Here is a 16,070-nt window from a genome sequence, read left to right as displayed (position 1 = left end):
TTTTCCTAATGTTCTGCCCATCAAGCAACTTGTAATTCAGTCCGTTTTCCAAGTGGAAATGGTGCCCTACAGAAAGAGGTGCCTGGCACACTTGAGGCCTCAAGGCCTTGGAGGACAGGTTACCATTCAAAGGCTGTGCTACAGAGCTTGCCAACAAGAACCAGCAAACCCAGTCCCTCCCACATCCCAGGGGCAGAAACAGACAAACTGAGAAAAGAAATAGACTGTTTATATCCCATGCCCTTTTAAAAATTAAAACTCTTTATTTAAACCTCTTAATAGCATCTTATCAATTTGGTGGCAGCAGCAGAAGCACTACCAAAGACAGATATTTTGAAAAGCATTTACAAAAATACATTGCACAAAGTCCTATCTTGCATCTTTAAAAATAAATTAATATTCAAAATATTTCCACCCCAAATCCCAAATCAGTTTTATATAGGAAATTTTGATTTATATATGTAACCTGTAATATATGAAACATCTGTACATTTTATCTGCCTTAACTGCATAGTTCCAATTCTAAGGAGAGTGAAAAAAATGCTGCTTGATGTATGAATAGTTTCATACATCAGTGTATTTGAGGACTGTTGTGCAATATACAGAAAACCAGTCAGCACCATCGTTTTGTCTTTTTCTGAAAACACAACATTTACGGTACACTGAAAACTGTCTTAACCCAACACAACTTAAATAATTCTTAAGGTAAAACATCTGTAACACTTTAAGTGCCTTGTAGATATCTCATTTATAAAGTCTGCTCAGTAAAATAGTCTAAATATTAAATAGTAATTATAACCAAAAAGAGTCTCACAAGAATCACGTGAGAATGGTGACAGCTGTGATAAAAGGCAGATTCCAGCCACAGCCAGTAAGAAATGCTGCTGAAGGAAAAAGGATCGTCCTGAAATGTAACGGGTTCGTGACCCTGACACACCAGACGGCTCCTCTTATCACCACCAGTGAGAGGGAGGCTCAGGGCGTCTTGCGCTCCCTATTCAGCAAAACTCAAAACAAGCCCTGAAAACACCCAAGATGAGATTTTTGGGTTTCTGTTTACTGTGACTCCCAACAGGAAAAGCCTTGCTGAGACCAGAGAACCCCATCTGGGTGTTTGCTTAGATCCAAACCAGGCCCCTTCAAGTCAGACTGACTTCAGCCTACAAGGAGAGCGAAACGCTCCCATATTCCTCCATGGATATTGGTACAGCGAGTCCTGACTGGAAACCTTCCTCAGAAGTAAGAGCGAACAAAGCAGAAAAACACATTTTAGTTATTTCCCCATCTGGAGACTTAGTACCTACTGGTGCTGAAAAAAGGAAAATTCCGGCTTGAAGGAAAGGAGTTTAGAACTCTGAAAATTTGGTGACATTGTTTTTCCCTGAAAGAAATGTGTGTTGGATTTAACAGATGAAATTATCTGCCCTCCAAAAGTCCTTTAGAAGAGCCAGTGCAAGGCTGAAGACCAAAGCGTCAAGAACACGCCAGACTCTCAGCTTCCTCTGCTTTGCTCCTTTGTTGAGGAAATGCAAATGCAAAGAGCTTCCCGTTAAAAACAAGGAGTGTCTGAGAGCCACGTGTTCAACACGCTTCTCCTGCTGCTGACCCCTCTGCACCTGCAGAGGCAGTGAGCACCCAACAGGTGGCGCCAAGGCGCCCGTCACACGCTCACGTCCTCTGGCCAGCAGCCACGTTTATTGAAGGAGTGTGGCACTGTCCCATCATTGTATATGCCCTCGTCCATGAAGGATTCCAGTGTTTCACGCTGTCCCAGTATATACAAAAATGTACAAAAATAATGAGTAGTGTCTTCACTTGACAGGTTCGCCATGAACTCTGAACCGATACAGACAGGTATACTCAGGATGGCCCCAGTTAGAAAAAATCCGAAGTTCCACTATTTGGAAAGCTGTGTCGTCGGGTCTTTTCTGAAATCAAGGTGGGAAAAACACACACATGTATTTCATATTAATAACCCCAAGTCCAATCACTTCCCCAAATATGACGTCTGACAGGAAGCAGCTGAGTTGGAAATTAACCTTTTGTTGTTGTTGTTGAGACAGAGTCTTGCCCTGTCACCCAGGCTGGAGTACAATGGCACGATCTCAGCTCACTGCAAGCTCCACCTCCCGGGCTCAAGCGATTCTCCTGCCTCAGCCTCCTGAGTAGCTGGGATTACAGGCGTGCGCCACCACGCCCAGCTCATTTTTGTATTTTTAGTAGAGACCGGGTTTCGCCATGTTGGTCAGGCTGGTCTCGAACTCCTGACCTCGTGATCCGCCTGCCTCGGCCCCGCAAAGTGCTGGGATTACAGACGTGAGCCACCACGCCCAGCTGGAAGTTAACTTTTTAAATATGATCCTTCTAAGTAATGTATCACAGGGCATGAAGCACGGGTAAAACTGAGAACGCTATTAGCCATGGAAAGGCTCATTAACGCAGAGCCAGGAAGCGCAGGTTAACATTTTTCAAAGGATGGTCCTCACGCTGCTTTCCAGTCTGTTGATGCCAGCTGGGCCCTGCTGTCACGAGAAGTTGTGGGACTCAGAGACCCCAGGCAGTGCCAGTCCCAGTTCTTACCAGGGCCTGGAACATCTGGAGCGACTCCCCATCCTGATCATACGTGAACTGTCCCAGAAGCTGCCCTTCTTCCTGATACTCATTTTCTAATCCCTGAAAACAAGACCATACACAATTATGAACGAATGGAAAAATAACACTGAGCAGAGAGGACCGTTCCCTTCCACAGCCAGCACTAAGCAAACAGGACCGTTTCCCTCCACATCAGTAAGAGAAGGTCATTCCTCCATGGCAGTCACGAGGCCTTCCCTGGAAGGAAGGGGTGTGTTTTGTTGAGGGCTTCATGTAACCCACGACATGTCCTGAGGTCAGCACGATTCCCCGTTATACACATTAGGAAAACTGAGGCCAAAACAGGACACACTAATGAGTGGCAGAGAAGTGACCCCGCCGGACACACAGACCATGCTCAGCTGCTGCCCTCAGCACTCACAGTGGAAGCTCTGGAGCACCTGCTGAGCCCGGGGAGATGAGGCCTCACCAGCAGGAGGAGGGGCCACAGAAGACCGACTTTGGGAAGAGAGCAGGCAGAAGGGAGCGAGTGCCGGCCTAAGCTGGGGTGTGGGGAGTCAGGGTTCAATGGGGACAGAGATTCAGACTAGAAGATGGAGCAGCTCTGGAGATGACAGTGGTGATGGCTGCACAACAGTGTGACTGGGCTTAACGCCACTGGACTGTGCACTTATTAGAACAGTAAGCTCTATCTTATCTTTTATCCGAGTCAGAGAACTAGCAGAAGACACAAGGGACTATTTGCATATCTATTTTGAAATGGGAAAGGACTTCTAGGGATAAGAAATGCTATGGAAGAAGTTCCAGCGAGTGAGTAGATGTAACTACTGCCTCTGATAATCACCAGTGAAATAAAAATACGGGGTGGGGCACAGTGGCTCACGCCTGTAATCCCAGCACTTTGGGAGGCCGAGGTGGGTGGATCAGAAGGTCAGGAGATTGAGACCATCCTGGCCAACATGGTGAAACCCTGTCTCTACTAAAAACTACAAAAAGTTAGCCAGGTGTGGTGGCGGGCGCCTGTGGTCCCGGCTACTCGGGAGGCTGAGGCAGGAGAATCGCTTGAACCCGGGAGGCGGACATTGCAGTGAACTGAGATCGTGCCACTGCACTCCAGCCTGGTGACAGAGCGAGACTCGGTCTCAAAAAATAAAAACCTCTGAAAGACTCAGGGCATCTGAGTGTTAATACAAAATTAAGAGCAACAATGGAAAGTATGTCTGTAACAGAATGACACATGATTATTATTTACATACTAAAAAGCTCAAATATTCATAAGGAAACTAAGATCCCAAAAGGTAAATGAACAAAAAGAAGACTAGAATTTACAAAAAAGGCAGCATGCATCTGAAATACAGAGAAATGCAGATTAAATAAACTACTGTTTTTCACCTATCAAGTTAGCAGAAATTTTAAAAAGAGGGCTGAGGTCGGGAGTTCGAGACCAGCCAGAGCAACAAGGAGAAACCCCGTCTCTACTAAAAACACAAAAATTAGCCGGGCGTGGTGGCACGCGCCTGTAATCCCAGCTACTTGGGAGGCTGAGGCAGGAGAATCGCTTGAACCCGGGAGGCGGAGATTGTGGTGAGCTGAAATCGCGCCACTGCATTCCAGCCTGGGCAACGAGACCAAGACTCCGTCTCAAAAAAAAAAAAAAAAAAAAGAAAGAAAATAAAAAGAAAATGCTAGTAACACAGTGCACCGACTCGGCCGTACAACATGCTGCTGCCCTCTGAAACCGTGACGCCACCTGTGAGTGTCTCGTCCACGGGAATTAATTAGTGAAGGTGTAAAGGAGCGACGCTCACACAGGGAAGCGGAAAAGGGAAAGAAATACTCAGTGAGAGGAGAAGCGGCCAGATAAACACGGGGGATTGATGCTACTTGAGGATGGCCACAAAGAGTGTACCTGCCATGGAAAAATGCTCATAATACAATTTCCTCTTTTTTTTCCTTTCCTTTTTTGAGACAGAGTCTTGCTCTGTTGCCCAGGCTGGAGTGCAGGGGCTCAATCTTGGCTCACTGTGACCACCGCCTCCTGGGTTCAAGTGATCTTCATGCCTCAGCCTCCCGAATAGCTGGGATGACAGGCACGCATAAGCCTGGCTAACTTTTGTATTTTTAGTAGAGACAGGGTTTCACCATTTTGGCCAGGCTGGTCTCGAACTCCTAACCTCAGGTGATCCACCCACCTCAGCCTCCCAAAGTGCTAGGATTACAGGCATGAGCCACAGCGCCTGGCCAATTTTCTTTAAAGGCAAAAATACTTTTATGAAATACTTTATGAAAATTTTAAAGCTTCATAAACACTACTGTCTCAACTGTAATTTTTTTTTTTTTTTTTTAAAGACAGGGTCTCACTCTGTTGCCCAGGCTGGAGTGCAGTGGCAGGATCTCAGCTCACGGCAACCTCCACCTCCTATATCAAGTGATTCTTCTGCCTCAGCCTCCCAGGTATCTGGGATTACAGGCGTGCGCCACCAAGCCTGGCTCATTTTTTTTTTTTTTTTGTATATTTTAGTAGAGACGCGGTTTCACCACCTTGGCCAGGCTGGTCTCGAACTCCCGACCTCAGGTGATCCGCCCACCTTGGCCTCCCACAGTGCTGGGATTCCAGGCTCAACTGTATTTTTTAAAGGCATGGTGAAGAAACCAGAAAATACCACAGTATGAATGGTGGGTTTCTCTGGGGCTGGGATCATGGCAGTCCTCTTGTCAGCCAGCTGCTCCCACGTCATCCAGTTGCCAGAACACCTTTCACAGGCAACTTGGCAAGGGCGGTGAGGAGCAAAATTCTTAGGCGTGTCTACCTTGGTCAGTGTAGTACTGTATGTAAAATGGACATCAGGTAATATGCCATTTCTAAGTTACCCTCCCTAGAAAAGCACTGGAATGTTCCCCTCAACACCGAATCTGAGAGAGGGCGGAGGGGCAGCGGGAGGCAGCCGTCCCCAGTGCGCTCACGTCACTTGCTTTCATCTGTGGGAACTCCCAGGAAGGTGTGGGAGGAGGAGGGTCGGCCAAGGGCACTCACATAGACGGCGAAGTCCTTGGGGGCGCTGCTGATGTTGCCTGTTGGCGACAGCGTCTTAGGGATGTGCTCCAGAGTGAAGGCGGCTGGGTGGATCATCATGGAGAGCCTCACCACCAGGTACCCCTGGGAGCCTTTAAATGCCCAGCAGTTACCGGGGTAAATGTCAGGCTGGGGAAAGGAAAAACATGAGGACTCAGAGTGTGAGCATGCTCTTACCCACTTAGCAGCAGGAAGAGGAAAGACTGATTATACTGAGATAAAAATAAGTTTTACATGGTAGAAACTGCCATGAGCAAAATCCGAAGATAAGCTGGGAAAGGCATTTGTAATTCACTCCTCAGAGGGCCACTATCTCCAACCCATATGTTGTATAAAAGTTAAAACGACCAGAACCTTAAAGAAAAATGGGTGAGACATACAACATACTTCAAAGAAAAGGTGAAGGTCAATGGTCCTTGGTCGTGGCAAGATGCCCTCCACCCTGCACAGCAAGAAGGGACACCACCACAGGGAACCAGCACTGTCCCCCCATCCGACCAACACCACAGGGAACCAGCACTGTCCCCCCATCCGACCAACACCACAGGGAACCAGCACTGTCCCCCCATCCGACCAACACCACAGGGAACCAGCACTGCCCCCCCATCCGACCAACACCACAGGGAACCAGCACTGCCCCCCCATCCGACCAACACCACAGAGAACCAGCACTGCCCCCCGATCCGACCAACACCACAGGGAACCAGCACTGCCCCCCCATCCGACCAACACCACAGGGAACCAGCACTGCCCCCCAATCCGACCAACACCACAGGGAACCAGCACTGCCCCCCAATCCGACCAACACCACAGGGAACCAGCACTGTCCCCCCATCCGACCAACACCACAGAGAACCAGCACTGCCCCCCCATCCGACCAACACCACAGGGAACCAGCACTGCCCCCCAATCCGACCAACACCACAGGGAACCAGCACTGCCCCCCCATCCGACCAACACCACAGGGAACCAGCACTGCCCCCCCATCCGACCAACATCAAGGGTCAGCTGCTGATGCCCTGGGAAAATGCACGTTCTAACCTAACCCGGCCACGGTGCAGCCTGCAGCCCCAGAAGCACAGCCTGGCAAGGTCGGCCTGCTGCGCACACATCTGCCTCTGGCCTGCGATCGCACCCCCACCTCCAGGTGCAGGGCAGATGTGACCGGAGAGCACTGTTCGCAGCACAGCGTCCCCAGGCACACACAGGGACTGACTGACAAGTTGCAGACGCTGCGCCCAGGCAGCCACGTTGCTGTGCGCAACGGAGGAGGAGACCGTGCACGCAGCCTGCCTTCAGTGTGTGAGGACGACACACGCATTTCATTCGTGTTTAGAAGAGATGGTGAACGATGGGCACGTACCCGCCGGCTTCTCCTCTATGCCAGCTGTGGATTTACTGCCCCTCAGCCCCCAAGCCGTCTTCTACCGCGCTGTGAAGACGGAGCTGAGCCTTGAACTGCTCTCCCTTTGCCAGCCCAAAGCCTAGCCCTTGCCAGCTCAGGGTGCTGGGTGGACACTGAGGTTCCCTGGTACCCCTCTTGGGGGTGTTGCAGCCAAACGCCCGGTGAGTCACCCTGTTGTGCACAGGCTTTCCCAGCATGCTGGTACATTCCACCGTGTGGCACCACAGCAACCTCCCTGACGTTCAGTGAGCTGGGCCACACCCTCCGCCCAACGGTCTGGAGAGACGCTCTGGCGAGGCTCCACCTTGGTCCTGGGGTGGGAGCTGGTCCCTTATATCTGCTATCCCTATGTTCTGTAAACATTCTCTTTACTTCCCAGGAGCCGACAGTTTCTCAGTCCAGTCCCAGCACAGTGATTGGTGATTTATATGAAGTCTGCCCCTCCAGTGACCGTGCACTTCCTTCTGAGAGAGAACTGTGCCAGGGGAGGGCTGAGCTCCACCCTCTCCCTCAGTCTCTAAGACACTGAAGCCATGCTGTGCTCTCACCACCAGATCCCCACCAGCATCACACTGACAACACTGCAGGCCAGTGAGCTCCTCTGGGAGGGTCAGGATCACCAAGCCCTGTGAGAAGGATGTTATGGCCAGGAGCAGGACCGCCATGCAGGAACACTGTGGCAACCCTGTGCAGAAAACCTGTTGGCCCTGCCAGGTGACACAGACTGTGCCGGTGGCACTCGTGAGCTGGCACAGAAAAAGCAGCCGCATGCCAAGCGCAGGGCTGTGTGGCTTCGTGGCAGCAGAGGCTGCGTCTGCCTGCAGTGAGGAGGGGCTCCGGCTGTGCCCTCAGGAGCAAAGTGCTGGTGAGCCCGTGCGGTGCTGATGGCTGCAGAAAGCCAAACAGTCACGCTGACCGGACAGTTCCGCCGGGGCAGCCTGGGGACGAGATCATGATGACGACAGTCCCATGTGATCCTCAACGTCAGGTCACAGGCACTTCATGAATTCTTTCAGGCTGGACTTGTGTTTTCCTAGTGAAAGCCGTCTTGGCGTTGTTCCACATACAAGTAATTATTGGATTTTTCTTCAAAACATGTCATGAATATGAGGCAGGATTTGAGTATTGAGGCAAAATAAATCTATTTAAATTCTCCATCCTTTAGTGCTTTAAACTTGTACAGCCAATAGTATAAAGTATTAAATGAAGCCACAGAAAAGCAGTGCACAACGAGGACCACAGCAGAAGGTCCAGGAGACGGGGACTGAAGGCCCAGGGAGAAGGGGGCGGGGAGGGGTGGGCGAAGGCCCAGGGAGACGGTGGGGGTGAAGGCCCGGTGGGACGGGGGGCGGGGGGGGGGCGAAGGCCCACGGAGATGGTGGGGAGACAGTGGGGGCGAAGGCCCGGGGAGATGGTGGGGAGACAGTGGGGGCGAAGGCCCGGGGAGATGGTGGGGAGACAGTGGGGGCGAAGGCCCGGGGAGATGGTGGGGAGACAGTGGGGGCGAAGGTACGGGGAGATGGTGGGGAGACAGTGGGGGAGAAGGCCCGGGGAGACGGGGGGCAAAGGCCGGAGGGATGGGGGGGTGAAGGCCCATGCCGAGGCCAGACAGCTAGGGCCTCCCCACCTATTGTCTCTCAACACCTGAGAAAGCACAGCTGCCACTCTCGTGACGGAAGACCCACGGCCCGAGCAGGAACAGCTGCCACTCACAACACCATGGCTGGAACACCCAAAAGAGGGAGGGAGGAAGGCTGACAGGACCAGCATGTGCCACACGGTCCCATCTGTGTGACGCTAAACCCAAGCCAACAGATGTGTAGCGTGGAGGCTACACGGGGACACCGGGGACTCCTCGGTGTGGGAACGCTGCCACTTCTTGTGGTACCAGTTCCACAGACGTGTTCATCTTACGAAGTTCCATGGAGCTGTGGACCTACGACCCGTGAACACTAACCGAGTCCATGCTGAAGAGGAGCAGCTCCGGCCACCGGCGGCCACTCACCTGGATGACCACGCGCGGGGACTGCGAGAAGTACCACAGCGGGATCCCAAACAGACTCATCAGCGCCGTTTTGGTTTCGTAAGTTTCAGAACAGCGAGTACTCAAGATGCTGCCACCTTAAAGCAAAGTTCAGATCGGTCTCAGTGTCCAGTTCCACCATTTTGGAAGCAATAGTACTGCACCACTTCAGGATTTATTAAAATGTTTCCAAGAAAAGTGCTCGACATCACTGATATTCAGAGAAATGCAAGTAAAAACTACAATTAGATCTCTTCTCCCCCCAGTTACAATGGCTTCTATCCTAAAGACAGGCAGTAACAAATGCTGGCGAGGATGTGGAGAAAGGGAACCCTCACGCACTGTTGGTGGGATGGAAATTAGTACAACCACCATGGAGAGTGGTTTGGAGGTCCCCAAGAAAACTAAAAACAGAGCTACCATATGATCTGGCAATGCCACTCCTGGGTGCACCCCCGACAGAAAGGAAGGCAGTCTACTGAAGGCAGACCTGCACTTCTATCTTTGTGCAGCACTGCTTGTTTACAGTAGCTCACATCTGGAAGCAACCTCAATGTCCATTAACAGATGAATGCATGAGGAAAATGGCGTACATATACACAATGGAGTACTATTCAGCCATAAAAAACAGTGAGAGCAGGCCAGGTGCAGTGGCTCACGCTTGTAATCCCAGCACTTTGGGAGGCCGAGGCCGGTGGATCACTTGAGGTCAGGAGTTCCAGACCAGCCTGGCCAACCCCATAGCAAAACCCCATCTCTGCTAAAAATACACAAATTAGCCGGGCATGGTGGCGGGCACCTGTAATCCCAGCTACTTGGGAGGCTGAGGCAGGAGAATCGCTTGAACCGGTAGTGAGCCGAGATCACGTCACTGACTCCAGCCTGGGTGATACAGCGAGCCTGTCATTTGCAAAAACATGGATGGCTACCAGAGGTCACTATGTTAAGTGAAATAAGCCAGGCATAGAAAGACAAACATCCCATGTTCTCACTTATTTAAAAACCAAAACCACTGAATTCATGGACAGAGAGGGTAGAAGGGTGGTACCAGAGACTGGGAAGGGGAGTTGGGGCTCAGGGAAAGTGGGGATGGTTAATGGGTCCAGAGAAAAAAAGAATGAGGCAGAGTGCAGTGGCTCACGCCTGTAATCCCAGTACTTTGGGAGGCCGAGGTGGGTGGATCACCTGAGGTCAGGAGTTCCAGACCAGCCTGACCAACATGGTGAAACTCCATCTCTACTAAAAATATGAAAATTAGCCGGGCGTGGTGACGCGCCCCTGTAGTCCCAGCTACTCGAGAGGCTGAGGCAGGAGAATTGCTTGAAGCCGGGAGGCAGAGGTTGCGGCGAGCCGAGATTGCGCCATTGCACTCCAGCCTGGGCGACAGAGCGAGACTCTTTGTCTCTACGAAAAATGAATGCATAAGACCTACCATATGATAGCAGAACAGGGTGACTGTAGTGAACTTCATTGTGCTTTTTTTTTTTTTTTTTTTGAGATAAAGTTTTGCTCTTGTTGCCCAGGCTGGAGTGCAATGGTACGATCTCGGCTCAACACAACCTCCACCACCCAGGTTCAAGCGATTCTCCTGCCTCAGCCTCCCGAGTAGCTGGGATTACAGGCATGTGCCACCACACCCGGATAATTTTTTTTTGCATTTTTTTAGTAGAGACGGGGTTTCTCTATGTTGGTCAGGGTGGTCTCAAACTCCCAATCTCAGGTGATCTGCCCGCCTCAGCCTCCCAGAGTGCTGGGATTACAGGCATGAGCCACTACACCTGGCCTAATTGTGCATTTTTAAATAACTTAGAGTATTTTTGTTTGTAACTCAAAGGATAAATGCTGGAGGGGATGGGTACCCCATTTTTCATGATGTACTTACTTCACATTGCATGCCTGTATCAAAATATATACCCCATAAATATGTGCACCTATGTACCCACAAAAATTAAAAAATAGATAATTAGTTAAGCCATTAAAATACATAAGTTTGAAAATGATGAAGGATATTATCTAATACCAGCTAATAAAATTTTCGGATAAAAAAAGTGTTTTTAAACTTCTCAAGTTTTTACATATACAAAGAACCTCCTACTTTTAGACTAGTCCTTTTCTTAATTAATTGTACTTTCTCAAATTGAGTGTTAAGAGTTTACAACTGCTTTAGGACACACAATTTTTACTTACTGAAACTGGGAAATTCTTAAAATACTGGCCTTCCCCCACTACTGCTAGAGAGAGAGCTACTCCAAATGAACTTTTTGTTGGTTTTTCTCAATGAAGAATAAAGCATCCGATTGAGCCTGGTGTCACCCAGCAGGTGAGCTCTCAGGCCCTGAAGAGCAGACCTTCCGTCACAATAATTACCAATTACAGTGAAAAGGCTGGGGCTGTGAGGATGGCTACTTGCGGCACAGGGTTTCTAGCTGGGGTGAGAAAGATTCTGGGGTAAGGCAGTGGTGATGGCTGCACCGCGAATATGTTAATAGCCACGGAGCTGTACATTTAAAAACGCTGAATTTTTGTGTGAATTACATCTCAATAATAAGAGGAAGCATAAAAAACAAGTCCAGTTTGGCCCTTAGTAGGATACAGGACAGGCAGAATGTTGTTGTCAAAGCAGGACAAAAAACCCCCAAGAAACAAAAACCAAGTTGGCCGTGAAGGCAGCACACAACCCCGGGCAGCAAGGGCGAGCTCGGGAGGGCGGCACTCCAGGGGCCCTGGCGCTGGTGAACGCCGGGCAGCAAGGGCGAGCTCGGGAGGGCGGCACTCCAGGGGCCCTGGCGCTGGTGAATGCTGGGCAGCAAGGGCGAGCTCGGGAGGGCGGCACTCCAGGGGCCCTGGCACTGGTGAACCACAGGCAGGAGAGGCAGAAACTGATGGGGTTTTTTTGTTTTTTGTTTTTGAGATGGAGTCTCGCTCTGTCACCCAGGCTGGAGTGCAGTGGCACGATCTCAGCTTACTGCAAGCTCCACCTCCCGGGTTCACGCCATTCTCCTGCCTTAGCCTCCCAAGTAGCTGGGACTACAGGCGCCCACCACCACACCCAGCTAATTTTTTGTATTTTTAGTAGAGAAGGGGTTTCACCCTGTCAGCCAGGATCTCCTGACCTTGTGATCTGCCTGCCTTGGTCTCCTAAAGTGCTGGGATTACAGACGTGAGCCACTGCGCCCGGCCAGAAACTGATGTTTTAAACAGGAAAACCATGGGATTTTAATGTAGCTGATTGAGATGTGAATTTCTAAACCACTGAATTATCTTTTTAACTAACTCACAAAGTGTCAATCAATGTTTTCTTCAATAATGGAACCTTCGGTGCAGCCTCATCAGGATTACCAGTGTTCTGAGGTACACACAAACCTGTAAGGATTCACTAGGGTTTTAAGAATAAATGACATCTCTCGGCCCAAACTGTATGGTTCATGTCAATTGATGCCTCTTAATGGAAAATAATTTCTTCCTAAATCACTGAATTTCAAAATATATAACTAAAAGCACTTAATATTCTAAAAAGGTCATTTTAAACAAACACACACCGATCACACCAGTAGCCTTGTTGATGTCTGTCTACCATTTGGAAGAATCCAGCCATTTTTATCACGACTTCAGTCTGCAGCCACCACAGAAAGAACTCAGAGGGTGGCAAATGACTGAAATCAAACCCAGCTGCTCCCGTACTAATGGGATTAGGATCCTGCGCAACCACATGGCAGAGTCCCTACCCAGCCCTACATCATCGTGGGTTTTAGAAATCTCTCCTGCCCTGCAGGCTCTCCAGCCCCTCCACACACTAACGTGTACTGAACACAGCATCTTCTGAGTGATGTGAGTCCCCCAGCCCCTATTTGCAAATCCTACATTTAAAAAATTCAGAAAACCAAGATTTTGATTTCCATAACAGGTGTGGTGCACACCTTCCCTGAGCGGACGTGAAGCAGGTCTAGCTCTCCTCTCACGGTTCTTTCGGAAATGCTCGTGTCTGATCCAGGTGTGCTGCCCCACTCACCACGGAGTGGGCTGTGTGGACCCCAGGACTTTCCTCAGCTGCGATGCTGATTTTCAAATGCATCTGCCCCAAGAGGTCTGGCCTAGGCTTGTGCCCCTGCAGGGTTTCCCAAACCCCGACCACAGCGGCCTTTGTATTTCTCTGAGGTCCTGAAACACAGCCCCCATCATTCCATCTGCTTAGCCTGCTTCTGCTCTCGGTCTGTCTTGCTGCTGAGTGGACGCCCTCGGGGAGAGCTGTGTGGTCACTGCTGAGTCTCTCCTGAAGGCACTGAACAATCCCCGATCACAGCACAGGAGAGAGTGAACAGTCGAGCACACTTTCTGTGCTGTGAACCTCGACTTAGCCACAAGCATGCACCCCCAGCCCTTCCAGGGGAGAACTTGTGCCCCCCAAACACAACTGGCCAGGAAGAAAGAACACCAGGGTCATGCCCAGAATCATGCTCCCTTTCTCAGATGTTTAAAAGTTAGGAGTCCTTACTGCTGGAAGTGGGGTAGGCAACAGCCTCTCAAGTGCACACCCCTGCTAACAGGTGATCATCTAACTTAGTAATCAGAACGTCTATTTACTCACCACCAGATTCCAGAGCAAAGTCCACCATCCCGGTCTTATCTTGGGAATACAGCTTCAAGGCGCTGTTCACGATGGCACGTGCTTGCTGGACAGACACGAGGGACGGAAGACCAAACACCAGAACAGGAGAGGAGAGACGTGGGTTTTAGTGCCATGGATGAGGACCAGACACTTACATTAGAGCATCTTCTCAACGGAAACTATGTAGGGTTCCTAGGCATGGCAGAAGTCAACTCCACACTCCAGTCCTGCGCCCGACTGCCAAGGCCATCAGATGGAGATGGGAGGGCACGAGGCCTCTTCCCCCAGGTCTCAGCCATGGCCACCATCAATCTTTGAACCAGAAAAATCCCCCAGATGCCATAAAACACGAATAAAGCAAGGATGAGCATTCAAGCCTGGAACACAGGAAATTCTGGGAATTTAGGTATTACTGAGTGATAGGGCTTGGCTGTGTCCCAACCAGATCTCATCTTGAATTGCAGCTCCCATAATTCCCACATTGTGGCAGGGAGCGGGTGGGGGAAACTGAGTCATGGTGGGGGTTTCTCCCGTGCTGTTCTCGTGATAGTCTCGGGAGATCTGATGGTTTTATAAAGGGAGTTCCCTCGCATACACTCTCTTGTCTGCTGCCATATAAGACACGACTTTGCTCCTCGTTCACCTTCCCCCATGACTGTGAGGCTTCTGCAGCCATGTGCAACTGTGAGTCAATGATCCTTTCTAAATTGCCCAGCATGAGAACAGACTAATACACGGAGAGACTTTCATGGAACTGCAGAAGGTGTGGCCACCACACAGGCAGATGGGCTCTTTGGGACAAAAAGATTCACAAAGTATAAAGAACTCCCAAGAAGCAGCTCAGTAATGACACTGACAGCAAGAGCTGAAGCTCACCGCACAGGTGCCCCCTCCACACACGGCACTGCCCAGGCACGTCTCATCTCACTTACGTCAGCTAAGCACACCCCAGCCAGACCACTCTTAAAACAAGACATCAACATCCACACCTCACAGCTAGGTCTTCAGTCTCAGCACAGAATGGACTGTAAGCATCTCTTGCCGCCGACTCGCCGACTCACCGCCTCTGTTATTCCAGACGCCCCCGCCTCGCTCACAGCAGACACCACGGCTTCTGAGGTTGGGAGCTGCTTGGTCACGGAAACGTGGTGGGTGACGTTCCGCAGGATCTGCAGCTGCAGGTCTCGCAGCATCGTCTGCAAGTCGCCTTTGCTCACAAACTGTGATGAGAACCTCTGCAGCAGCTGTTCCAGAGAACCGCCTTGCTGATCTTCGGAAAACAGGAGTTTCACCATTTCTCTGACTTGCACGTCCACCTAGTAAAACAGCAGACGGACACAAATGTCCTATTTTAACTAAATCACTTCCACTGTTCGGGTCCATTATCTTAGATACCTCAGAAGAATTATATATCCTCTCAAAATCTAGAATGTCATTGTGACAGTGTTTTCCTTCATATTAAATTTAATAACCCCTCCAATAATGCAGGACCATGTTAAAAAGAACAGAAATAGGTGAGCTCGTGGGATGTGTGCGACCCACATCCTAGGAGCTGAAGGACATAGTGGGGCATGTCCACACCCTCTGGAGGTGCGTGTCCATCCCGCAAGCACCCACCGGGCACCCCGCAGCGAGGCGCACAGGTGCATCGGAGAGGCCCTGCCATCAACAAACTTGGTCTGATGAGAAAACAGTCATATAAATGAACCTAAATTATAGCTTTATGTAAGCTAAATACACCCCATGTTATTTCTAAGCACACAAACACATATGTGTATACCTTTCTCTTCTTGCTTCGTAACAACAGACCGTGAAGGAGAGGGCAAAGCCTCCTAGGACACGACCGTTCATCACAGCTGCCCTCCCACATTCCACGTGTGGACACACCCTTCTCTAGCCCACACCCCCTAACAATGGCACGTAGCTGCTTTCTACCCTCACTCCTCCCCACACACACTTCCCAGCGCTGACCCTCCTGCCTGTGTGGCCTCTGTACTGGTGCCTTTATTTCTGTAGGATGATTCCCAAGGGCATGGTTGCTCATTTCAAAAAGTGCATGTATTTGTCACTGGTTAATATCCTAAGATTTTCCCCCAGAGGCCGTAGTTGATGACAGTCCTCCTGGCCAGGGAAAAGCCCACTGCCTCAGCCAGCGCTGATAGCAGCCATCGTCCTCGTGGGCCTGCAGACTAAAGATGAGAGCCTGCTGTAATCTGCAAGTCCCATCAGTAGGACTCAGCTCCCTGATAGCACGGTGACATGCTTTTTCTTTTTCTTTTTTTTTTTTTTTTGAGACGGAGTCTTGCTCTGTCACCCAGGCTGGAGTGCAGTGGCGCGATCTTGGCTCGCTGCAACCTCCACCTCCTGGGTT

General features: G+C 50.3%; 1 protein-coding gene and 1 long non-coding RNA gene across 72 annotated transcripts in view, besides 1 other annotated feature; one reads left to right on the top strand and one right to left on the bottom strand.

The window, feature by feature from the left end:
- Window positions 1-208: 208 nt before the first annotated feature.
- The window catches only part of SUN1 (Sad1 and UNC84 domain containing 1), a 59,378-nt gene continuing 43,516 nt past the window's right edge, over window positions 209-16,070 (bottom strand). For 56 of the 71 annotated variants that reach the window (NR_160283.1, NM_001367634.1, NM_001367651.1 and 53 more), the window contains 6 exons: window positions 14,761-15,015; window positions 13,679-13,763; window positions 9,076-9,191; window positions 5,627-5,794; window positions 2,581-2,673; window positions 209-1,928 (listed from right to left, as the gene is read on the bottom strand). Coding sequence is in view for 68 of the 71 variants with exons in the window: in NM_001367634.1 (NP_001354563.1) it covers window positions 1,812-1,928; window positions 2,581-2,673; window positions 5,627-5,794; window positions 9,076-9,191; window positions 13,679-13,763; window positions 14,761-15,015 (834 nt within the window). In the remaining 3 variants the exon portion in view is untranslated. Of the gene's footprint in view, window positions 1,929-2,580; window positions 2,674-5,626; window positions 5,795-9,075; window positions 9,192-13,678; window positions 13,764-14,760; window positions 15,046-16,070 lie in introns of all 71 variants that reach the window. The other 15 variants (NM_001367703.1, NM_001367699.1, NM_001367682.1 and 12 more) reach the window with 4 other exon arrangements.
- Window positions 1,523-1,582: a silencer, noted in NCBI's record as "silent region_17822". NCBI's record gives its function as "represses an Ori minimal core promoter by ATAC-STARR-seq in GM12878 lymphoblastoid cells {active_cell/tissue: GM12878}" and the evidence as "EXISTENCE:reporter gene assay evidence [ECO:0000049][PMID:35858748]".
- Window positions 2,993-8,227, top strand: LOC124901568 (uncharacterized). The gene is made up of 2 exons (XR_007060177.1): window positions 2,993-3,273; window positions 7,450-8,227. It is a non-coding gene; the product is annotated as an uncharacterized LOC124901568 (long non-coding RNA).

The sequence above is a fragment of the Homo sapiens genome, chromosome 7, assembly GCF_000001405.40.
Source record: "Homo sapiens chromosome 7, GRCh38.p14 Primary Assembly".
NCBI classification, from domain to species: domain Eukaryota; kingdom Metazoa; phylum Chordata; class Mammalia; order Primates; family Hominidae; genus Homo; species Homo sapiens.
Note: the sequence above shows the minus strand (reverse complement) of the source record. Positions and strands in the feature narration are given on the sequence as shown.